Below are 24,609 nucleotides of genomic sequence, written 5' to 3' on the forward strand. Positions count from 1 at the left end.
CCCCACCCCCCTCTCCGTGGAGATGGCTCTGAGAAATCAAATATTGACAATGAGGGAACAGAACTTATTAAATCTGGGACAGGGATGTGTGTGGGGAGCTGTGGGAATGGCCGGATGCCTGGGTTCGGAGGGTAATGAAGGTTCTGGGAGGAGGAAAAGGGCCGTGGCTGGGAGGTGCAGCAAGGCTGAGGCTCGAGGTCACAACTCTTCTGCCCTTTCCTTTGGGATGTACACGGTCTTGCAACCCTGGCTGTTTCTCTAGCCCCGAAGAGCCCCTGGGGAAAAGACCCCCATCATAGCTAGCTGTGGTTGCCCCGCCTTCGTCCCTTCCCCCTACCTCCACCTCTGTTGATGAGCTTCAGCAGCGTTTAATCGGATTGAGCAGTAATTAGCAAAGCGAGATGTTTGATTACCTATTTAGCATAATGTGGGGGGCTGGGATCCGTAGGCACAGCCACAGTTGGGGAGGGGGGTTTAAGAAAAGAAATGGGGTCTGTGCAAAGTTCCTTTCCCCGAGGGACCCATGAACCTTGCCCCTGAGGCTCCCCACCCCACGCCTCCAGCAAATTTTCACTCCTTTGGGACTTTTCCCTAGGGGTTCTGGCCAACCACATCACCTCTGTCTGCCACCCATGGCCTATCTGGCTAGAGGAACACCTCCACGTTCCATCTTAGCTGTGCTAGCTGTGCAGCTGGTTTTGGGGTGGGCGGTACTCCTCTCCTTCCATTCCTGCTGTCAGCAACAGGAGTCTGGCTGGGCAGGAGGAATTATTGGGGGTCGGGGGGAGGGAAAGGGTTGACACTTCTGGGAATAAAGATACGGTAGGTGGGAGGGTGAGGTCAGCGCTGGGATAGGGTGTGGTTAATCCACTTGCTCTTCAGGAGTACCAGGGACTGCCACTCCTGGTAGTGCCAGGCTGGCATAATGAGATCTGTTAGGTGTGAACGCCAAACAGAAAATGGGGGAACTGAGGTGCCAGCTTCTCTTCTCCTCATCCAGCAAAGAAAATGTCATAAATTTCGCTCCTCATGGAAATGTAATCAGTGGGCTCGCTGCTGGCTTTGTCTTAATTAGGCACTATTGATGGAAACAGGGAGGGCGCCTTCCCATCCCCCCACTCGGCTTCCTCCCTGTATTTCCCAGGTCTCCCCAAAGCTCCTCCCGGCACCAGGTACAGCGGTCTTCCAGGCGCCTTCTAGCAGCCCCGGCCCGCAGCGCCCCCTGGCACCCTCGGAGATGTACCCCGGCCCTCATAGCCCTCCCCTCTCGCCTCCTCTCTCACGACGCAGCCTTTGTTCCTATGGAGAGCGAAGCCCCTCCCAGGCCCGGTCACCTTCCCCAGGGAGTCCCCGCCTCTCATCCCCCCCAAAAACCAGCGATGCCTTCGAAAGCCAATCCTCAGATTCCCAAAACTCCAGTTCCCGTCTTCCCTCCCTTTCCCCGCCCCGCGCCGCCCCCCCGCAATCCTAGACCCCAATCCGAACTAAGAAGGGGGAAGGAGCAGGAGGGCAAGGGTGCTCCAGGCCCGGTTTTTCCCCCGGATCCAGCTGCACCCACGGCTGCCTGGAAATCCTGGAACGCCTTCTACATCGCGAATATCCCTCGCCGGCCTGGCGCCCGGCGCCATCTGCTGGACCCGTTCCGGCTGGGGCGCACAGACCTGGGCGCGGGGTCGGGCGATTGGGTTCTCCCTGCCTTTTCAATGTCCTGCGGGGCGGTGGCTCACTGTCTCTCGCCCCAGCCCTTCCAGCTGGGTCCTGACACCAGGCCCCCCGCACCCTTCGGCTCGCCAGATGTGGCTACTTTCCTTTAGTCCCGGAGCCTTCAAGCCCTGGGTCCCTGAGGGGTAGACCTGGGCGGGGTGGGGCCGCGAAGCAGGGATCCAGGGCGCCTGCGCGGAGGAGGCGGGCTCCGAGGGGCCGCACACCGGCCACTCGCCCCTCCCTGCCCGGGGTTGCCATGGGGACGCGTGCAGACGCCGGCCCGAGAGGGCTGCGAGGGGCAACTTCTTAGAGTGGCCCATCGGTCGGTCTAGGGAGGGGAGGGTCAGCGTGGCAAGGTGTGTGTCGGGGGCAGAGGGAAGGAGGGAAGGAGTGCTGGGGAGAAGGGGCAGTAGTGTCGGGGTAGGAAGGGACAGTTGTTGGGGAGAAGAGGCAGTTGTGGAGGGAGAGGGAGCAAGGAATATTTGTGTGGGGGAGGGGGAGGAGAAGGGGCAGTTGTGACAGCTGGGGGGGAAGAGCCATTCTGAGGGGAAATTTGCCTGCTGGTAACCAGTTTAAGGATACCAGCTGCTGGTATAAATACTGCTGGATAAATACTGCTGGATTTATACTGCAGGATAAATACTGCTGGCCCCTGCGGTATTTCCTAGTACTAGAGTGAGCCCCGACTTAGCAGAGCAGTTCCTCCTGGGGCCTGCGGTGTGGGATCGCGTGGTGAACCCCACGGTGCATGCGCCTCAGGCTCTAGTTTGAGGCAGGAAAGCGCAGCTTGATGCTTCTCTGGAGACTGATGGAGGAAGCCTCCTTGCTGTAGTTGGTTTTATTGATTTGCTGGCCTAACAGAACGTTTTTCCTTGGAGCAAAGTACAAATCCTTCAAGTTTGAAATTCATAACCTGAGATCAATGCCTGTGGCAGCCTGTGGGGATGAGGAAGGAGAGCCACAGGTGCCGTTAGGCTGCAGCCTAATGAAAAGAGAGTGCCCAGCGCCTCAGACTTTGCGCCTGGGATTCTGAGCACCTGTCCGAGATCCCCGCTTCCTGCCATCCTACCTTTCTGAGAGAGGCACCACTGTGACCTTCCTCGTGCCCCAATTGCTTTTTCCTCATGACACAATTTGAAATTTATGATTGGATGACTTTTGTCCTTCTTTCTTCCAATCTGTTCTCAGGGCATTTTGAGTCAAATAAATGATCCTGACTGATCTTAACCATTAGCACAGAGTTCCTCAGCCAACTCTGCTAAGAGACCTCAGTACACACAAAACAGTGTTCCTGCCCCTCAGGACTTCAAAGCGATAGACCCAGGTGGCAAATACTGTTTTTCTCTGTTTACAGATGTTGCAGATTTTAGTGGGATTGGGAGGAGCATATTTCCATTTAACTTGGGAGGAAAAGAGGTACATAGGAAAATCATCTTGGTTTGCTTGAATGATTGAACAGTGACAAAGGATGGGGGATGTGCACCCCTTCCTTGATCCTCTCTCACTCACTCATGGTCCTGGAGGGTAGAGTGGATGAGGGTTTGGGCAACCACACTTCAGCTTGATAGATCTTTTCCTGATTATCTTATGTTCTCATACCCCGGGGCAGAGATAGAGGTTCTAAATCCTCATTAGTGGGGTGTCTGGCCATCTTTTTTTTTTTTTTTTTTGAGATAGAGTCTCACTCTGTCAGCCAGGCTGGAGTATAGTAGCATGATCTTGGCTCACTGCAGCCTCTACCTCTCGGGTTCAAGAGATTCTCCTGCCTCAGCCTCCCGAGTAGCTGGAATTACAGGCACGCACCACCACTCCTGGCTAATTTTTTGTATTTTTAGTAGAGACGGGGTTTTGCCATGTTGGCCAGGCTGGTCTCGAACTCCTGACCTCAGGTGATCCACCCGGCTCGGCCTCCCAAAATGCTGGGATTACAAGCATGAGCCACCGCACCCAGCCTGGCCATCATCTTTAACTCCCATTTGTTCCTAGTGCCTTGAGGGACTGACTTTGATTTTTAGCCCAGTGCCCCGAAGACAGTAGGATATCCTAGGGAAAAACAGCAAGGCCTCCCAGGCCCCTGTGGAGTACAGAGCCCTTGTGGTTAATGGAGCAGGGTGTGGGTACCACCAGAAAAGATGATCATATTGAGTTTCAGTCAATTTATGAATTCAAAAGGGACTGCTTGTATCAGGGGGCTGGTTCAGGGGTGGTATCTGCTTGTAGACTCTCCACTCCTGTATACCTGTAGGTTTTGCCTGCACGATGTCCAGCAAAGCTGAGAAGAAGCAGCGATTGAGTGGCCGAGGAAGCTCCCAGGCAAGCTGGTCAGGGCGGGCCACTCGGGCTGCTGTGGCCACACAGGAGCAGGGGAATGCCCCGGCTGTCAGTGAGCCAGAGCTGCAGGCTGAGCTCCCCAAGGAGGAGCCTGGTGGGTACTTGCTGGGGCAGAGGATGCTTAGCAATGGAGGGTGGGGAAAGTCAGAGGGGCTTGGAGGCATTTTAGGGCTGGGGAGCAGGCGCTGTTGCTTCTGGGCAGGAAACGGGCTAAGTGACGCCCCCAGCCATGGAGGTTCAGCAGCCCTGCCACTGAGTCCTTTTTTTGTATGTCTTCCTCCTGGCCAGCCTCATCCTTGTTCTTTCTGTCTTAAAATTTCCCACAATATACCAGGAGTTCACCAACCAGTCCTTTCTCTAGCCTCTTCCTCCTTATTTCAAGTGTTCCTGGTTGCTCCTACCCCACTGAAGAGGGTTTGATCTCTTCCTTTTTCCCATTTTCACCCTGGGTGGCAAAACAAATAATGTTTTTCTCCCATTAAGCCCATCACCATGGAGACTCAGCCTGTTTTGCCACCCTTTGAATCCAAAGCCCGGCTGATGCTTTCTACCATCTGTTGAGGGCTGTTCTATCTCCGCCCTCATTTTGGCAGGGACTTGGTAGACTGCGGAGGTTCAGGTTCAGGATGACAGGAAAGAAGTCTAGATCTAGGGAGGAAAGAGTTTAACGAGGCAGCCTCTTGTGGCTTTGACCTGAGGGATTCCTTTCCTGTGGGTGAGCCGGAGCCAGTAAGGTTGGAAGGTTTTTGGTAGTTGTTGCTATTGCTGGGATCTCCCTGAGAGCACTGGTCAGTGTAGACAGGACTATGAGCTAAGTGTAGACCTCCTTCTTTACCTGGAGCTCCTTTACACTGATAGTAGCTTGTGAAATAGAATCCCCTTCTAAAATTAAAGGTTGAGAGGTTAAGCGTGGGCATGGGAGAAAAGTCCCTGGGCCATAAGAACTTGCATTAGGTTCCAGGATCTTAGAAATGTGCAGAATGTATCCTTCTGAGTTCTGAAGTGCTCAGGTGAAAGCAGTTAAAATGGGATTGCTCGCTGCTAGGAGGAGTAGGGGAAGATGGGAGGGAAGACAGTGAGGTTCAGTATGGAGAATCCTCTGGGGAGGTAAGGGAAGGAGCTTTAAAATGAATGTGTTGGCCTTCGAACAGCAAGGATTTCTGCCTCTCCCAGCTCCAAGCTTTCTTTTCTTTCTTTCTTTTTTTTTTTTTTTTTTTTTTGAGACAAATTCTCACTCTGTCTCCCAGCCTGGAGTGCATTGGCATAATCTCAGCTCACTGCAACCTCTGCCTCCCGGGCTCAAGTGATTCTTGTGCCTCAGCCTCCCAAGTAGCTGGGATTACAGGCATACACCACCATGCCCAGCTTATTTTTTTTATTTTTTTGAGACAGAGTCTCTCTCAGTTGCCAAGGCTAGAGTGCAGTGGTGCGATCTCAGTTCACTGCAACCTCCACCTCCTGGGTTCAAGCGATTCTCCTGCCTCAGCCTCCTGAGTAGCTGGGATTACAGGCGTGTGCCACCACACCCGGCTAATTTTTGTATTTTTAGTAGAGATGGGGTTTCACCATGTTGCCCAGGCTGGTCTCGAACTCCTGTCCTCGAGTGATCCACCTGCCTCGGCCTCCCAAAGTGCTGGGATTACAGGCGTGAGCCACCGCACCCAGTCTCCCCTGGCCTAGTTCTTGCCTGGAACCTGAATGCCAGCAGTTTTCCCAAGGGAGTTGGATCATCTCACCTACTCACCTACTACTAAGCTCCGGAATCGCCTGTTCCATCTTTTCACGCCTTCCTGCCTCGGCCTCTGTGCCTCATTCCCCTCTTAGTTTTCCTTTCTGGAAGCCAGAGGGAGTTTCCTGTTCCTCATGGTCTTTTGGTTATATCTCATTTGTTCCTTCCTCCTTTCAGCCCCTGGGGAATGGGAAAGCCACCAGTTTTACTCCAATCTCCTGTGTGACTAGTAGATCAGGAGGCAGAGAAACAGAGCCGCTGGGTTTTATGGGAGTCAGAGTGGGTGTGGCAGAACTGAATGCTCAGCAGGCCAGTGGTTTGGAGAAGGGCTGATTCCTATGAGCCCCAACTTCTCCATGTGGGAAGAGGAGTGGGGGAAGATGGAGGGCCAGAAGCTGTATGCCTGGAATAACCTCAGTACTAACCGCCTTCATTCCCTCACCCCTACCCCAGTTAGTGTTTGTTTTATTTTTATTTTTTGGAGACAGAATCTTGCCCTGTCACCCAGGCTGGAGTGCAATGGCGTGATCTCGGCTCACTGCGACCTCTGCCTCCCGGATTCAAGCAATCCTCCTGCCTCAGCCTCCCGAGTAGCTGGAATTACAGGCACCCGCCACCATGCCTGGCTAATTTTTTGTATTTTTATAGAGACGGGGGGGGGGGTTCACCATCTTGGCCAGGCTGGTCTCGAACGCCTGACTTCGGGCGATCCACCAGCCTCAGCCTCCCAAAGTGCTGGGATTACAGGTATGAGCCATCGTGCCCGGCCCCCAGTCAGCTTTTTACATTAAATTGACAGAGAATTCACTGACTCTAAAATTTACCTTTTTAAAGTCTACAGTTCAGTGGTTTTTGGTATATTCACAAAGCTGTGCAACGTTCCCACTATCTAATTTTAGAACATTTTTATCCCGCCAAAAGAAAGCCACTTTAAGCACCTTGAGAAATTGGCACCAGGTGACTCCTATATCTTTACTTGTAAGTTGCATCAGAGCCTCGTCTTTTAGCAGTCACTCCTGATTCCCCCTTCCCCCGCAGATCCCAGGAACCGCTCATCTATTTTCTGTCTTTATGGATTTGCCTATGCTGGACATTTCATCGAGTGGTCTCTCATGACTGGCTTTTTTCACTTGGCACTGTGTTTTCGAGGATCATCCATGTTGTAGCATGAACCACACCGCCATGCCTTCTGATGGCTGAATAATAGCCCACTGCATGTTTATATCACCTTTTGTTTATCCATTCCTCTGTTAGAAGACACTGAGCTGTTGCCACCTTTTGCCTATTGTGAATAATGCTGCTACGAATGCTGTAATGCAAATCTCTCTTTGAGTCCTTGCTTTCAAGGTCTCTACCTAGAAGTGGAATTGCTGGGTCATTGGGTGGCTGTGTTTAGCTTTCTTTCTTTTCTTTCTTTTCTTTTCTTTCCTTTTTTTTTTTTTTTTTTTTTTGAGACAGAGTCTTCGCTCTGTTGCCCAGGCTGGAGTGCAGTGGCGCAATCTCGGCTCACTACAAGCTCCGCCTCCCAGGTTCACGCCATTCTCCTGCCTCAGCCTCCAGAGTAGCTGGGACTACAGGCTCCCACCAGCACATCTGGCTAATTTTTTGTATTTTTTAGTAGAGACGGGGTTTCACCGTATTAGTCAGGATGGTCTTGATCTCCTGACCTCATGATCCGCCCGCCTTGGCCTCCCAAAGTGCTGGGATTACAGGTGTGAGCCACTGTACCCGGCTTTTTTTTTTTTTTTTTTTTTTGAGACAGGGTCTCACTCTGTCACTCAGGCTGGAGGGCAGTGGCACGATTATGGCTCACTGCAACCTCTGCCTCCTGGGTTCAGGTGATTCTCCTGCCTCAGCCTCCCAAGTAGCTGGAATTACAGACACCCGCCACCACACCTGGCTAATTTTGTATTTTTAGTAGAGACGGGGTTTCACTATATTGGCCAGGCTGGTCTCAAACTCCTGACCTCAGGTGATCCTCCCGCCTAGTACTCCCAAAGTGCTAGGACTACAGGTGTGAGCCACCGCGCCCAGCTGACTGTGTTTAACTTTCCAAGAAATGCCTTCCTTTTTGTATGTTTATTCTTCCTAGAGCCACGGTTGGAGGGACCTCAAGCACAGAGTGAAGAATCAGTGGAGCCCGAGGCAGATGTGGTAGGCTTGGGTCTTCCCTGTGGCAGATATTCCTCCCCCAAAACTGGTGAATCAAAGGATCAGTTGTGGATGGCACATGAGGAATTCTCTCTTGTCTGCCACTTCTTCTACTTGCTCTCTGCTGTTAGCCTACTCACCACAAATCCAGTTCACTGAGTAAAAGACAAAGTCATCTGTGCCTTCGCCAGGACAGAGGAGGGCTTTAAGTAAGGCGCAGGTCTCTCTTGTCTCCCCACCTTGGGTCAAACTGTGATGAGCTTATTCATCATGCGGGTGAACACCTGAACAAGTTGAATGAGCTGGGAAGATATTGTCCTAATTGGATACTAATTTCTAAGACATGCTCTTTCCACCTTTCCTTCAGTTCTTTCCTTTGGCTGAAGAATTTACAGAAGCTGCTTCAGTCACTTTGAGAAATGGCACTAAATGACCTCTGCTTCTTTATTTCCAAGTTGCATCAAAGCCTAGTCATGACCATAGTTACCTGGGTGAGAAGAATAGAGTGATGACCTTGACATTTTTCAAAAAGGGAAAGAAAAGTAATAACTATCGAAGAAAAAAATGGCAAGAGACAGAAAAGTAAAATAGAGAAAATAAGACTCATGGTGTTACTGCCCAAACACATTTAATATTAATATTTGATATGTCTGGCCAGACACGGTGGCTCAAGCCTGTAATCCCGCACTTTAGGATGCCGAGGTGGGTGGATCACCTGAGGTCAGGATTTGAGACCAGCCTGGCCAACATAGTGAAACCCCATCTTTACTAAAAATACAAAAATTAGCAGGGTGTGGTGGCGGATGCCTGTAATCCCAGCTACTCGCCAGGCTGAGACAGGAGAATTGCTTGAACCCGAGGGCAGAGGTTGCAGTGAGCCAAGATCGTGCCACTGTACTCCAGTCTGGGCAATAAGAGCAAAACTCTGTCTCAAAACAAACGAACAAACAAAACCCAAAAAAACAAAAAAACAATATTTTGATATATCTTTTACTTTTGTGCACAGGTTTGTAAGTTTGTTTGTTTTTGTATAATCCTAACTTTATCATATGTTACTTTTTTTTTTTTTTTCTGAGATGGAGTCTTGCTTCCGTCGAGCAGGCTGGAGTGCAGTGGCATGATCTTGGCTTACTGCAGTCTCCACCTCTGGGGTTCAAGTGATTCTCCCTCCTTAGCCTCCCAAGTAGCTGGGATTACAGGCATGCACCACCACGCCCAGCTAATTTTTGTATTTTTAGTAGAGGCGGGGTTTTGTCATATCGGCCAGGCTGGCCTCAAACTCCTGACTTCAGCTGATCCACCTGCCTCGGCCTCCCAAAGTGCTAGGATTACAGGTGTCAGCCACCGTGCCTAGCCCATATGTTATGATTTTGTATTAAACCTTTTCACAAAACATTTTATTTGTATTATTATTATTTTTTGAGACAGAGTCTTGGTCTGTTGCCCAGGCTGGAGTGCAGTGGCACGATCTGGGCTCACTGCAATCTCCGCCTCCCAGGCTCAAGTGATTCTCATGTCTCGGCCTCCTGAGTAGCTGGGATTACAGGCACACGCCACCATGCTGGGGTCATTTTTGTATTTTTAGTAGAGACGGGGTTTCATCATGTTGGCCAGGCTGGTCTTGAACTCCTGACCTCTGGTGATCCGCCTACCTCGGCCTCCCAAAGTGCTGGGATTACAGGTGTGAGCCACTGTGCCTGGCCTTCTTTGTTATTTTATTTGTATTTGACTTCAAGTGAATATATATATATATATTTTCTTTTTGAGACAGAGTCTTGCTCTGTTACCCAGGTTGGAGTGCAGTGGCGCGATCTCAGCTCACTGCAACCTCCGCCTCCCGGGCTCAAGCAATTCTCCTGCCTCAGCCTCCCGAGTAGCTGGGATTACAGGTGCATGCCACCATGCCCGGCTGATTTTTGTATTTTTTTTAGTAGAGGCAGGGTTTCACCATGTTGGCCAGGCTGGTCTTGAACTCCTGACCCTGTGATTCGCCCCCACCCCCCACCCCCACTCCGGCCTCCTGAAATGTTGGGATTACAGGCATGAGCCACCACGCCTGGCCAATTTTTTTTTATATTTGCATTTTTAAAAATGACATATCTATGCAGGTCCTTTTGTCTATTTGTTTATTGAGTTTTTAGTGTTTTTCTTATTGGTTCATCCTGTCTATATGTATTATAGGAAAGATTTTAGATCACTATTAATTTTTCTTGACCTGGAAACTTTAAGAGAGATTCCTTCTTCCAGGAGGAAAGATGAAAAGACTTCGCAAGTTCACTGATCTGTATCTTCATATCTTCTGATTTCCTTTATTTATTTGTTTGTTTATTTATTTTTGAGACGGAGTCTTGCTCTGTCGCCCAGGCTGGAGGGCAGTGGTGCAATCTCGGGTCACTGCAACCTCTGCCTCCCGGGTTCAAGAAATTGTCCTACCTCAGCCTCCCAAGTAGCTGGGATTACAGGAACCCACCACCATGCCTGGCTGATTTTTGTATTTTTAGTAGAGATGGGGTTTCACCATGTTGGCCAGGCTGGTCTTGAATGCCTGACCTCAGGTGATCCACCCGCCTTGGCCTCCCAAAGCGCTAGGATTACAGGCATGAGCCACCATACCCAGCTAATTTTTTTTTTTTTTGAGACAGATTCTCACTCTGTTACCCAGGCTGGAGTGCAGGGGTGTGATCTCGGCTCACTGCAATCTCTGACTCCTGGGTTCAAGCGATTCTCCTGCCGCAGCTTCCCGAGTAGCTGGGATTACAGGCATGCACCACCACGCCCGGCTAATTTTGTATTTTTAGTAGAGACAAGGTTTCTCCATGTTGGTCAGGCTGGTCTCGAACTCCCGACCTCAGGTGATCCACTTGCCTCGGCCTCCCAAAGTGCTGGGATTATAGATGTGAGCCACCGCGCCCAGCCCTCTTTGGTGTTTTTGTGTCTTTTTCCCTCCTCACTTTTTCCTTAATGTTGTACCAATTGACTTTTACCTAGTATTTTACACTTCTTTTGGACTCCATCGTGAAGAAATTGCTCCTATACCCTCTCCCTTTTCCAGCTTGTGGTCTCCCTGCTCCTAATTGCTTGATCTAGGCTAATATCCTACACATTCCCTTAATTCACCTTTACCTTTGAGATCGAGGGCTGACATTTTTAAAAACTACAGGCATAAAGATAATCTCTTGCATTGGGTGGATAATATCCCAGTTTTCCTCTGTGATCTGTTTGTTTGTTTGTTTGTTTGTTTTATTACTCTTAGAGGCAAGAAATCTTATTTTTCTGTTTCTTCCAAAGCTGGAAAGCTATCTTTCAGTTTCTCCTAACCATTCTGAACCTGTCTGGCTTCTCTCATCTCCCATGTCCTCACTTGTGATTGTGGATGGGAGGAATGACTCATCCTGGCAGTTGTAGTTACTTTGGCCCTCTGCTCTCCTTCTGTAGAAGCCCCTCTTCCTTTCCCGAGCTGCGCTGACAGGACTGGCGGATGCAGTGTGGACACAGGAGCATGATGCCATTCTGGAACACTTTGCCCAGGACCCTACAGAATCCATCCTCACCATCTTCATTGACCCTTGTTTTGGGCTGAAGCTAGAGCTGGGCATGCCTGTACAGGTGCGTACCCTACATTCCCAGATCAAAGGTGGTCCTACAGAGAGCCGAGGGCTCTCAGTTCCTTCATCATCCTTAAGTCTTGTCATCTCCTGTGCCCACGGCCTATTGAGCCCCACTGTGTCAGGCACCCTACTTGGTGGCAAGGATAGGAAGAAGGATGACGCAAGAACGCTGTCATGGGCTGGGCGCGGTGGCTCACGCCTGTAATCCCATCACTTTGGGAGGCCGAGGCGGGTGGGCGGATCATGAGGTCAGGAGATCGGGAACATCCTGGCCAACATGGTGAAACCCCATCTCTACTAAAAATACAAAAATTAGCCAGACGTGGTGGTGCACACCTGTAATCCCAGCTACTTGGGAGGCTGAGGCAGAAGAATCGCTTGAACCTGGGAGGCGGAGGTTTCAGTGAGCCAAGATCATGCCACTGCACTCCAGCCTGGTGACAGAGAAAGACTCTGTCTCAAAAAAAAAAAAAAAAAAAAAAAAGAATGTTGTCCTGGTCTAGTGGGGAAGACAGACATATAAGCAAATATTTACTATAGTTTGTGATCATGGGCAAAGCTTTATAGGAGCGTTATGGGAGCAACTAATGGAGCCAGTGGAATTCTGGGAAGCCTTGATGGTGGAGGTGCTATTTGAGCTGGGATGAAGGGTAAGTGGGATTCCATCAAGACTAGGTAAGAGCTATTCAGCAAAGACCACTCTACGTACAAAGAAAAGAGAAGTAGTGGGAAGTGATACTGAAAGGGGCTTGGGGTCAGCTTATGAAGGGCCTTGTATATTATACTCGAGAATTTGGCCGCTATCCCAGAGAGTGCTATTGAAGTCTTTTATAGTTTAGATAGATAACTATTTCAACAGTGTGGAGAATACATTAGACAAGGGTAGACCTAGGGTAGGGAGACAGTTAAAAGACAGATGGATAGTAAAATGTTGCTGGTAGAATCTGGGTGGTGGTCATACAGGTCATCACTGTAAAATTCTTTGAACTTTTCTGTATATATCTTTGAAAATTTTGGAAAAAAAATGTTGGAAAACTTAAAAGGCTGTTGCTTTGCTCATATTGGCGGCACATATACAAAAGTGGAAAGGATGAGATTGATTGGCATGGCCCTGTGAAACAATGACGCAATTTGTGAAGCATTCTGCGTTGAACATGGGCAGAAGAACTTTTGCCCTGTGCACTGGCAGTAATCAGCCACAAAACAATGAAAAAAGATTTCATTCGCAAAAGGAACCACAATTTGCAAAATATATTTATATTTGAATATACATTTTAATATAAAAGTATGATTTATATGAAGGAAAACAACTTTGTTGCAGGCCGTGAAAAACGATTTGAAGAAATGAGGAGCCACAGCTTGTTTCGGAGTAGGAATCTTAATATCATAAAGATCATTTTATATAAAAAAGTATCATATTTGGCTCATGCCTGTAATCCTAGCACTTCGGGAGGCCGAGGCAGGCTGATCGCTTGAGCCTAGGAGTTCGAGACCAGCCTGGGTAACATAGTGCAACCCCATCTCTACAAAAAACACAAAAATTAGCCAGGCATGATGGTGCACACCTGTAGTCCCAGCTACTTGGGAGGCTGAGGTGGGAGGATCACTTGAGCCTGGGAGGTGGAGGTTGCAGTGAGGTGTGATCACTTCACTGCACTCCAGCCTGGGTGACAGAGTGAGACCCTGTCTCAAAAAAAAATACAAAAACAAAAAACAAAAGGGCCAGTTGAAACTTCCTTTAAAAATTATTACCCTTGAATACCTGATAAAATGAGCAAAAAGTAAAACTACCGAAAAATTAAAAAAACCAAACCAACCAAAAAAACACAAAAAAACCCTGAGAGTAAGCAAATTTAATCTAATACACTTTAAAAATGGGAGACCAATGAAAAACATATGCACTGAGTCAAAGAATGGTGCTCCCCTGGTTACATGGAGTGAACTTGAGAGGGTGTAATAAAATCTTAGTAAAGAGAAAGACAGGCCTGTGCCTTTAGTCCCAGCTACTGTGGAGGCTGAAGCCAAAGGATTACTTGAGCCCAGGAGTTCGAATCAATCCTGGGCAACATAGCAAGACCGCCATCTCCAAAAAGAAAAAAAAAAAAAGAGAGAGAGAGAGAGGAGGAGCCTAGGTTTGTTTGTTTGTTTGTTTTGAGACGGAGTTTTGCTCTTGTTGCCCAGCCTGGAGTGCAATGGCGCAATCTCGGCTCACTGCAACCTCTGCCTTCTGGGTTCAAGCGATTCTCCTGCCTCAGCCTCCCGAGTATATGGGATTACAGGCATGTACCACCACACCAGGCTAATTTTGTATTTTTAGTAGAGATGGGGTTTCTCCATGTTGGTCAGGCTGGTCTCAAACTCCCAACCTCAGGTGATCCACCTGCCTCGGCCTCCGAAAGTGCTGGGATTACAGGTGTGAGCCACCACACCCGGCTTGAGCCGAGGTGTTTTAACAAAGATTTTTCACTGCCTTAAATGAGCACTAACCACCTGTCCATTTCCCTGAGGCAATTCTCTTAGGCCAAAGAAAAGTGAATAAAACATAAAACACCCAACCCTTTCACTTTAACTTCCAGGGGCAAAAATAAACTGGTCTCTCACAGTGGGAGGTCAAATCACCCACAGTACATTAGAGCAAAAAGAATGAGTTCACATGCTTGCTGCCCAAGCACGAGCAAAATGAAAAGAAATTGCATGGTAACTGCAAGTGCATTACATCAAAGAAAAAAGAGGAACAAAGCATGCAAAAGAGGAAAACATAACTGAATGAACAGGAGGAGATTCCTCACAACAGTACCATGTTCTACCACAACTTAATAAGACCAGGGATTCAATTAAAAAAAAAAAAAAAAGCTGAGCCCTGAAATGATAAAATGTGAGAATAAGATAAAAGGGAGACTGCAGATTTTAGGAAATGAATAAAGCAGCATGTTATAAAACCAGTAGATTGGAAATAGCAAGGAACTGAATAGCTAACCCAGAAAATCCTATCACTGACAGAGGAGAGGCTTGAGGTAATCACCGTGTATGCAGAAGAAAAAGCCAAGGACATTAACACAATTAGAGAAGCTAACAGATACGAAAGACTAACATAGATGATCTTGTATAGAGAGCCAACAAATGAAACAATATAAATGTAAAGATAAAATACAAGTAATTTCCCTGAAATGCAGAAGGAACTGAATCTGGGAATCAAAAAGGACACACTGTATTCCACAAAATTTGTTGCACATCTTGGCTAAGCTACTCAATTGTAGGAAAAATTAATTCCTTAGGAATATCCCCTATGCGGTAATCCTGCTAAGAATATTTAACTTGAATCTGGCAATAAGGAGACAATCCAATAAATCCAAATTAAGAGACATATTGGGAAAAGAAAACTGGCCTGGACTATTAGAAATATCAATGCCATGAGACAATCGCTTGAACCCGGGAGGCGGAGATTGCAGCAAGCCAAGATTGTGCCACTGCACTCCAGCCTGGGTGACAGAGCGAGAGTCTGTCTCAAAAAAAAAAAATTTAAAATTTAAAAAGCATGAGCTGGGCACGGTGGCTCACGCCTGTAATCCTAGCACTTTGGGAGGCCAAGGCGGGTGGATTGCCTGAGCTCAGGAGTTTAAGACCAGCCTGGGCAACATAGTGAAACCCTGTCTCTACTAAAAATACAAAAAAAATTAGCTGGGCGTGGCGGTGTGCACCTGTAATCCCAGCTACTTGGGAGGCTGAGGCAGGAGAATCGCTTGAACCAGGGAGGCAGAGGTTGCAGTGAGCCAAGATCACGCCATTGCACTCAAGCCTGGGCAACAGAGTGAGACTGTGTCTCAGATAAATAAATAAATTAATTAAATTAAATTAAATTAAATTAAAAAGAAAAAGAAAATCAATGCCATGAAAGAAAAAGGTTGGGGAGTGCTTTAAAATTAAAGGATACTAAGAGACATGACCATGTGTGATCTTGGATTAGATTCTGGATTGGGTCTTTCAAAGCAGTGAGCTAATAGAACTCAAAATTGAAAGTTAGTGAGAAAACTCATAATATTTTTCATAATCTTTTTTTCTTACCACCATAGAAAGGGATCCTTTGGGAAGAAACCTCTCTTCTGGATGAAGAAACATTTATTTGAAGCTCAGGAATTCCTTTATAGCTACTTCTATTTCTTTTTATTTGCTTAAATTCAAGTAAAATTAAATTTAATAGTTTTAATTAAAAACAGCTTGCTCCTATTTAAAAATAATGATTTTAATTTAATTTTCTATATGTATATAGCTATAGAAAAATATGTAGAATAATGTTTTCTCTAATATTAACAATATTAATTTTTAGGTGGTGGAATTTTAGATGACATTTTAACTTTTATCTTTGTAGTTTTCTGCATTGTTTCAATTATTTATATTTAACGTATGTCATCTTCACAAAAATAATAGTTGTTAAACTTTTAAAAAAATGGACATGGCCGGGCACAGTGGCTCACGCCTATAATCCTAGCACTTTGGGAGGCCGAGGCAGGCGGATCACCTAAGGTCAGGAGTTTGAGACCAGCCTGACCAACATGGAGAAACCCTGTTTCTACTAAAAATACAAAAATTAGCCGGGCGTGGTGGCACATGCTTGTAATCCTAGCTACTCGGGAGGCTGAGGCAGGAGAATCGCTTGAACCCGGGAGGCGGAAGTTGTGGTGAGCTGAGATCATGCCATCGCGTTCCAGCCTGGGCAACAACAGCGAAACTTCGTCTCAAAAAAAAAAAAAAAAAGGACACAAAATGCCAATATTTATTTTATTTCTGGGTAGTAAGAAGACAGATGATTATTAATTTCTTCCTTGTGCTTTACTTTGTTTTTAAAATTAAATAAATTGTCAGCCGGGTATGGTGGCTCGCGCTTGTAATCCCAGCGCTTTGGGAGGCCGAGGCAGATGGATCATCTGAGGTCAGGAGTTTGAGACCAGCCTGGCCAACCTGGTGAAACCCCGTCTCTACTAAAAATATATAAATTAGCCAGGTGTGGTGGTACGGGCCTGTAATCCCAGATACTCGGGAGGCTGAGGCAGAAGAATCGCTTGAACCCGGGGGGCGGAGATTGCAGTGAGCTGAGATTGCACCATTGCACTCCAGCCTGAGTGACAAAGCAAGACTCCATCTCAAAAAAAAAAAAAAAAAAAAAAAATTGCCAAGACTAGTCAAAAAAGCACTAAAAAACCCAAACGAAACAGGTGAGTCTGATATTAGGGTGGAAATGGCCTTTCTAAATATGTAGCAGTCAGAACTTTAAGGAATTTTATATTTAATTACATGAAAGATATATGCTTTTGTACGTAAACCACAAAAGCCATAAGCAAAATTGAAGCATATGTGTAAAATTTTGGGAGAAATATATGCAACCAAAATGGAAAACCCTAGACAATTGTCTCTTCCTTCCAGTCCTTCTCCTTTCTGCTTTTTCCATTGGCTGAAGTGCTTCCTCCATTCCATCCTTTCTTTCTATCGATCCGTTCATCCATCCAACAAACATTATTGAGCATCTACTCTATGCCAGGCAGTGTACTAGGTTCTGGAGCCTAGTTGGACAAAATGTACAGTCCCTACTCTCAAGGCATACTCTCTGCATTTCCTCCCCACATCTCTGGATATGGAATCATATCCGTGAAAAGAACAGGAAGCACTTCATGGCACTTCCATTTAGAGAAGGATCAGGATACCCTGAGGGACGTGAGAAAGAACTCAGCCGGGCTTTTGTGACTGGGTGTCATGGCTGGGCCTGGAGACTGAACTCTGATCTGCTGTCTTCCATGCAGACCCAGAACCAGCTTGTCTACTTCATTCGCCAAGCACCAGTTCCCATCACCTGGGAGAACTTCGAGGCAACTGTGCAGTTTGGGACGGTGCGGGGCCCCTATATCCCGGCCCTGCTTCGGCTGCTCGGTGGAGTCTTTGCCCCTCAGATCTTTGCAAACACAGGCTGGCCTGAGAGCATTAGAAATCATTTTGCTTCTCATCTGCACAAGTTCTTGGCCTGCCTGACAGGTAAGTGGGAAGACCGGAGTGACTAGTTTCTCCTTAGTGTCCCCCAACTGTACAACTAGTGAAGTGGTGGGTCCTTCGTCTGAGCACCTGTGTGGAGGAGGAAGTATTCAGCATGCTTATCGAATTGGTAGAATAGGGTACAAGATCCGCCTTCTTCTTCTTTTTTTTTTTTTTTTTTTTGAGATGGAGTCTCACCCTGTTGCCCAGGCTGGAGTGCAATGGCGCGATCTTGGCTCACTGCAACCTCTGCCTCCTGGGTTCAAGCAATTCTCCTGCCTCAGACTCTCGAGTAGCTGGGATTACAGGCACATGCCACCACGCCTGGCTAATTTTTTGTATCTTTAGTAGAGATGGGGTTTCACCATGTTGGCCAGGCTGGTCTCGAACTCCTGACCTCATGATCCACCCGCCTTGGCCGCCCAAAGTGCTGGGATTACAGGTGTGAGCCACCACACCCTGCCAAGATCCGCTTTCTAATCCAGACACACTTTTCTGTTGTGGAACTTGTTGGCCAGACCTGCTTCAACTTAGACTTGGAAATTTCTAAAAGCACATGTGGGGGAAAGGGAAATATAGGTGCTGTGGGGACACTGGGAGGACTCACATGTCTCGTGGTAGAGAGTGTTGAAGGCGCGATACAGATCTTTGACCTTATTTTATGGCAATTTCTTGTTATAACTCCATGAGGTTTCCCTCTTGCCTTTGGTCATTTCTTGATATCAAAAAAGCATGAGTCACCATTTCTTCTACCTGCTCTCCTGAAATGCATATGCTTCCTGGTCCCCTACCGATCATCAACCGTGATTCCTACGGGGCCAGCAAGAACTCATCCCCTCTGTCCACTTCCACAAACTTTCCTTTCCTTAGACACTCGGTACAAACTGGAGGGGCACACGGTCCTCTACATCCCTGCAGAGGCCATGAACATGAAGCCTGAGATGGTGATAAAGGACAAAGAGCTGGTGCAACGGCTAGAGAGTGAGTGGCTGGCACTGCTAGCATCACCTGGCGATCACAGGGGAGAGGGAAAGGGGAGGCTCGGATGCTGACAATGGAGTTGGGTTAGGAGGTCTCTGTCGGGGTTGCGGGGAGTGAAGGATGCTGTTGGGAAGCAGTGTGAAGAAACGAAGGAGATTTTGTACTCTCCCCTGCAGCCTCCATGATCCACTGGACCCGGCAGATAAAGGAGATGCTCAGTGCCCAGGAGACTGTGGAGACAGGAGAAAATTTAGGTCCTCTGGAGGAGATTGAGTTCTGGCGCAACCGATGCATGGACCTGTCTGGCATCAGTAAGCAGCTGGTGAAGAAGGGAGTGAAGCACGTTGAATCCATCCTGCACCTTGCCAAGTCGTCCTACTTGGCGCCCTTTATGAAACTGGCACAGCAGATCCAGGTTTGTGAGCGAATCAAAGGATTCAGGCTCAGCAAGAAGTGGGCAATGGTTGGGATGATACAGGGAGCTAAGTAAGGAGAGGGAGCCAAGGCAATCTTCGATAGCACAGACTGACCCACCCAGGGTTCGGCCTTGTACTTGCAGGAGAGTATAAAATAGTAGAATAGAGGGTCCCTAAGGAGAGAGACATCAAGTTAACCAATAAATATACATCAAGTACCTTCTGTGAGCACAACCCCTGCCACCCAGCTGGGAAAATAAGATTACCCAAAACAGGATTACTAGACAGCGTGGGAGCCAAAGATGAGCTCATGTGGTTCAGTCCAGGAATTACAAGATAAATACCTTTTTTCTTTGTTTGAATCTGCCTTCCAAGGAAAATCCAAGGAAAAGGGATAAATACTTTTTTTCTTTTTCTTTTCTTTTTTATTATTATTTTTGAGACAGAGTCTGGCTCTGTTGCCCAGGCTGGAGTGCAGTGGTGCGATCTCAGCTCACTGCAACCTCTGCCTCCCAGGTTCAAGGGATTCTCCTGCCTCAGCCTCCTGAGTAGCTGAGATTACAGGTGCCCGCCACCAAGCCTGGCTAATTTTTGTGTTTTTAGTAGAGACGGGGTTTCACCGTGTTAGTCAGGCTGGTCTCAAATGCCTGACCTCGGTGATCCACCCACCTTGGCCTCCCAAAGTGCTGGGATTATAGGCGTGAGCCACCGCACCTGGCTCTTTTTCTTTTCTTTTCATTTCTTTTTTTTTCCTTTTGAGACAGGGTGCTGGAGGCTGAAGTGCAGTGGCACGATCTCGGCTCACTGCAACCTCTACCTCCTGGGCTCAAGGGATCCTCCCACATCAGCCTCCTGAGTAGCTGGGACTACAGGTGTGCACCAGCATGCCCGGCTAACTGTTGTATTTTTTGTAGAGACAGGATTTTGCTATGTTGCCCAGGCTGGTCTCAAACTCCTGAGCTCAAGTGATCCACCCACTTCAGCCTCCTAAAGTGTTGGGATTACAGGCGTGAGCTACCTCACCCAGCTCAATTGTTAATTTTTTTTATTATTATAATTTTGAGACAGAGTCTTGCTCTGTCGACCAGGCTGGAGTGCAGTAGCGCGATCTCGGCTCACTGCAACCTCTGCCTCCTGGGTTCAAGCGATTCTCCTGCCTCAGCCTCCCGAGTAGCTGAGATTACAGGTGCCCACCACCATGCCTGGCTAGTTTTTGTATTTTTAGTAAAGACGGAGTTTCATCATGTTGGCCAGGCTGGTCTCGAACTCCTGACCTCAGGTGATCCACCCGCCTCGGCCTCACAAAGTGCTGGGATTACAGGTGTCAGCCACCTCGCCCGGCCTAATTTTTAAATTTTTTGTAGAGACAGGATCTCACTATGTTGTCCAGGCTGGTCTCAAACTCCTGGTGATCCTCGGCCTCCCAAAGTGTTGAGATTATAGGTGTGAGCCACCACACCTGGGCAATAAACATTAAAAAAAAATTTGATATGATGTGACAGGCTGATTATGTTAGTGCTAGGTCACACAGGAGGTAAGAGTGGCCTGTAGAATACAGATAGAAGACCTGTCTTCCTAGGTGAAAATTTCAGCTGGGCATTAAGGGAATTGAGCCAGAACTAACTGGAGGAGCCTAAAGCCCTGGCTGAGAACAGGGCAGTGAAAGGGAACTGGGTGACAACTATGGGGACGAATGAGAGTGATATGCGGCCAGTTGATCCGACAGCAACAGAGTATCCACTTAGTGCGGAGTCCTGAATTCAACTGGAGAAAACAGACACAAAATCTAGAAAAATCTAGACTCGAGGGAATTCTTAGTCTGGTAGGGGAGCTAGGGCACACACATGAGAAAAGAAAAGTTGACATGTGCTAACTCTGGTCCGAAGGCTCACAGAGACCTGAAATGATCGCTACTGTGTAGGGCTGATGGGAGGGATTCCTCTTAGAGGCAAGTCAGAATGGGGTTGAAGATGGTTAAAAAGCACTTGTGGGCTGGGCGTGGTGGCTCACGCCTGTAATCCCAGCACTTTGGGAGGCTGAGGCAGGTGGATTACTCAAAGTCAGGAGTTCGAGACCAGTCTGGCCAACATGGTGAAACCCCATCTCTACTAAAAATACAAAAATTAGCTGGGCGTTGTGGTGGGCACCTGTAATCCCAGCTACTTGGGAGGCTGAGGCAGGAGAATTGCTTGAACCTGGCAGGCGGAGGTTGCAGTGAGCTGAGATCGCGCCATTGCACTCCAGCCCGGGTGACAAGAGTAAAACTCCATCTAAAATAAATAAATAAATAAAAGCACTTGTGTTGAATCAGTGCTTTCTAGTGCATAAATCTATTTCTCATCTCTCTTTACTGCCAGGATGGCTCTCGTCAAGCACAGTCAAACCTGACCTTTTTGTCAATCCTGAAGGAACCTTACCAGGAGTTGGCTTTCATGAAGCCCAAGGACATCTCTAGCAAGCTCCCTAAGCTGATCAGTCTCATCCGCATCATCTGGGTCAACTCTCCCCACTACAACACTCGGGAGAGACTGACCTCGCTCTTCCGAAAGGTGTGCATATGCTGAGGGTGGGATGGAGGGGTTTATGAGGGTGGCCGGGTTTTCTGAAGCAGGGGGAATGCATTCGGCAGAGGATCTGTGGTTGAAAAGGTAGTGAAGATTGCCCTTCTGCTCAGAGACTGAGCTCAGAAGGCTTCTACCGGCATGATCTGCTTTAGGGTTGCTCAGCATTGGAGCCTGGGCTGGACTTTCTGTTTCTAGGTGGAGGTGGCTTAGGCAGGAAGAGGGGCTTCAGAAGAGGAGTTGGTGGAAGACGGGGAAGCAGCAGGAAGAACAGACCCCCAAGCTGAGCTGTGTGGAAGGAAAAGCTCTTCTTCCCATTCCTCAAGATGGAGATTGCAGTGGGGGAGAGGGGATTTAGGAAGGAGCACCGGCTCTTGAGGAGCAGGGCCTGGTGCATTCACTGGGGGTGAAAAAGCCAAAGAGTGGGAGAAGGGACACTGAGCTGAGACCTTGCTGGGCAGGGTGGCTGCAGAGCTGGGCTGAGGCAGAGTAAGGGGCCACCTAGGACAAGGAGTGGGCATGGAACCCAGAGGTGTCGGCCTGGCCAGGGGTGGAGAACCAGGGGTGGGATGAGTTTCAGGAGTCAAATTAAGGAGTAGGGGGCTGAGACATGAAGCACGGGCAGGGGGATGCAGAGAAGGAGTTGGGTGTCAAGGAGGTGGGGACAGAGGCTGTGGGGACTCCTTCTGCAGATGAGCAATGAGATCATCCGCTTATGCTGCCACGCCATCTCCCTGGACCGGATCTTTGAGGGATATGTCTCTTCCAGCAAGGAGGACCTGCAAGGCTGCATTCTCTGTTGTCACGCTTGGAAAGATCACTACGTACAGGCTGTGCAGATGCACATCCAGTATGATACGCCTCCCCTAACATCCCATGTCTCAACTCCCTTGTCAGCCCTGTAAGAGGGTAGATTCTGACTTCTTTCCTGTACACTTTGTTTAGCCTCTTGGTTGTATTTTCCGAGACCCAGGAGTTTCTACATCTGGCCAAATTTTCTGTCTGGATACAGATACTGTATCTCATTGCCCTGGCTTCTCCTTTTTTGTTTTTTAATTTTAATTTTAATTTTTTTTTGAGACAGAGTCTTGGTCTGCCACCCAGGCTGGAGTGCAGTGGCGCGATCTCAGCTCACTGCAAGCTCAGCCTCCGAGGTTCATGCCATTCTCCTGCCTCAGCCTCCCCAGTAGCTGGGACTACAGGTGCCCGCCACCATGCCAGGCTAATTTTTTGTATTTTTAGTAGAGACAGGGTTTCACCGTGTTAGCCAGGGTGGTCTCGATCTCCTGACCTTGTGATCTGCTCGCCTTGGCCTCTCAAAGTGCTGGGATTACAGGCGTGAGCCACCACGCCCTGCCTGGCTTCTTATTTTAATAATCTCTCCTCCCTGATCCCAGGAACCCTACCTGGTCTTTTCCTCCTATCTTGACCCCATCGTCTAAAATTCTATTATGTATGAATCTGCTCCTAGAACTTAGATGCTCTGTCTCCTGTCTGGTTCTTCTCACCTTGAGTCTTGTCCTTTGGGATTCAGGAGGGTTGTTTCTCGGGGTCTGATTTTTCTAGGGCTTTCCCTGAATGCAGGGCTCCTGGTCTAGGTTTGCATAGCCAGACTGCTCTTGCCTTCCAATTCAGTCGGCCTTTCTCCTGACACAGGTTCTCCAGTCGGGGCTGGGTCCTAGATCAGACCAGCATCTTTGCTCAGGTTGATGCCTTTGTGCAGCGCTGCAAGGACCTTATTGAGGTGGGAAGACTGAAGAACCAAAAGCTAACAGCAGACCCTCCAGAATCCCTCCCCACCTCCCACCCCAGGAACCAGGGCAAACGGGGCAGAGGCTAAATATTGAACTTATGGCCAGGCGCGGTGGCTCACGCCTGTAATCCCAGCACTTTGGGAGGCTGAGGCGGGCAGATCACCTGCGATCAGCAGTTCGAGACCAGCCTGGCCAACATGGTGAAACCCCGTCTCTACTAAAAATACAAAAATTAGCCGGGCCTGGTGGTGCATACCTGTAATCCTAGCTGCTTGGGAGGCTGAGGCAGGAGAATCTCTTGAACCCGGGAAGCGGAGGTTGCAGTGAGCCGAGATCATGCCACTGCACTCCAGCCTGGGCAACAGAGAGAGACTCTGTCTCAAAAAAATAAAAGAAAAGAAAATTGCACTTACCACATTGGCTTTTCCTGCACAATTGTGTGTCCTACTACCACACCGCTTTTTCTGGCATTTGCCTCTTATCGCTGCCCTACTATTTCATATTTCATTCTGTGGCCAAAGTTCATCCCAGCAGCCCCCTGCAGCTGGTTGGCCCTCCCTGGTTTTTAGATATTTTCTTCTTCTTTTTTTTTTTTTCACTTGCCATCACTCACAGTGATGTTTTTAGACATTTGAAGCTAAACCAAATAGCTTAGGACTTTGGAGTTTGGAAGGAAAGCAGGAACCCTCATGCTGTCTTCTTTTTTAGGTATGTGACTGTCAGTATCACTTCGCCCGCTGGGAAGATGGCAAGCAGGGTCCCCTTCCTTGCTTCTTTGGTGCCCAGGGGCCACAGATAACACGGAACTTGCTGGAGATTGAGGACATCTTTCATAAAAATCTGCACACGCTGCGAGCCGTTCGCGGGGGTATCCTGGATGTCAAGAACACCTGTTGGCATGAAGACTACAATAAGTGAGGGAACCACAGGCTGATGCCAGGCGTGGGCAGGGAAGGCAGATCAGGCAGCCAAGAGTGGGAGGAGTGGCGAGAGTATGCAAAGGAAATGGTGGAAGGACAGATCGGGATCAGGGCGGTGGCCCGGGGGGGGGGACAGGAGAGAGTGCAGGGGAGGGGGGTGGCAGCTTGGGTTGAGGGTTCCAGAGTGAGCCTTTCCGGACTTGGATCTTGGTTCTGCCACATACCAGATATATGACATTGGGCAAATTACTCCACCAGCTGTCTCCACTTCCTCCTCTATGCAATACGGTTAGAGATAGAGCCCATCTCACAGCATTGTTTTGAGGATTAAATGGATTCATGTAGGTAAAGTACTTGGAGTGCCTGGCACACAGGAAGCCCTCTGTCCTCAGCAATGCATGGGATTCTTCCTCAGGGGTTGGAGTTGGGGGCAGGC

At 48.3% G+C, this 24,609-nt stretch overlaps 1 protein-coding gene across 9 annotated transcripts in view; it reads left to right on the plus strand.

Annotated features, from left to right (window-relative positions):
- The first annotated feature begins 1,972 nt into the window (after positions 1-1,972).
- Positions 1,973-24,609, plus strand: part of DNAH2 (dynein axonemal heavy chain 2) — a 115,999-nt gene continuing 93,362 nt past the window's right edge. For 5 of the 9 annotated variants that reach the window (XM_011523663.2, XM_047435425.1, XM_017024219.2 and 2 more), the window contains exons 1-11: positions 1,973-2,060; positions 3,950-4,129; positions 7,857-7,918; positions 11,351-11,521; positions 17,316-17,544; positions 18,412-18,522; positions 18,699-18,937; positions 21,296-21,487; positions 22,192-22,349; positions 23,156-23,243; positions 23,962-24,167. In XM_011523663.2, the coding sequence (XP_011521965.1) occupies positions 3,964-4,129; positions 7,857-7,918; positions 11,351-11,521; positions 17,316-17,544; positions 18,412-18,522; positions 18,699-18,937; positions 21,296-21,487; positions 22,192-22,349; positions 23,156-23,243; positions 23,962-24,167 (1,622 nt within the window). In that variant the 5' untranslated portion in view covers positions 1,973-2,060; positions 3,950-3,963. Of the gene's footprint in view, positions 3,029-3,949; positions 4,130-7,856; positions 7,919-11,350; positions 11,522-17,315; positions 17,545-18,411; positions 18,523-18,698; positions 18,938-21,295; positions 21,488-22,191; positions 22,350-23,155; positions 23,244-23,961; positions 24,168-24,432; positions 24,519-24,609 lie in introns of those variants that run through there. The other 4 variants (XM_047435424.1, XM_011523667.3, NM_020877.5 and 1 more) reach the window with 4 other exon arrangements.

Source organism: Homo sapiens, chromosome 17 (assembly GCF_000001405.40).
Source record: "Homo sapiens chromosome 17, GRCh38.p14 Primary Assembly".
Classification (NCBI taxonomy): domain Eukaryota; kingdom Metazoa; phylum Chordata; class Mammalia; order Primates; family Hominidae; genus Homo; species Homo sapiens.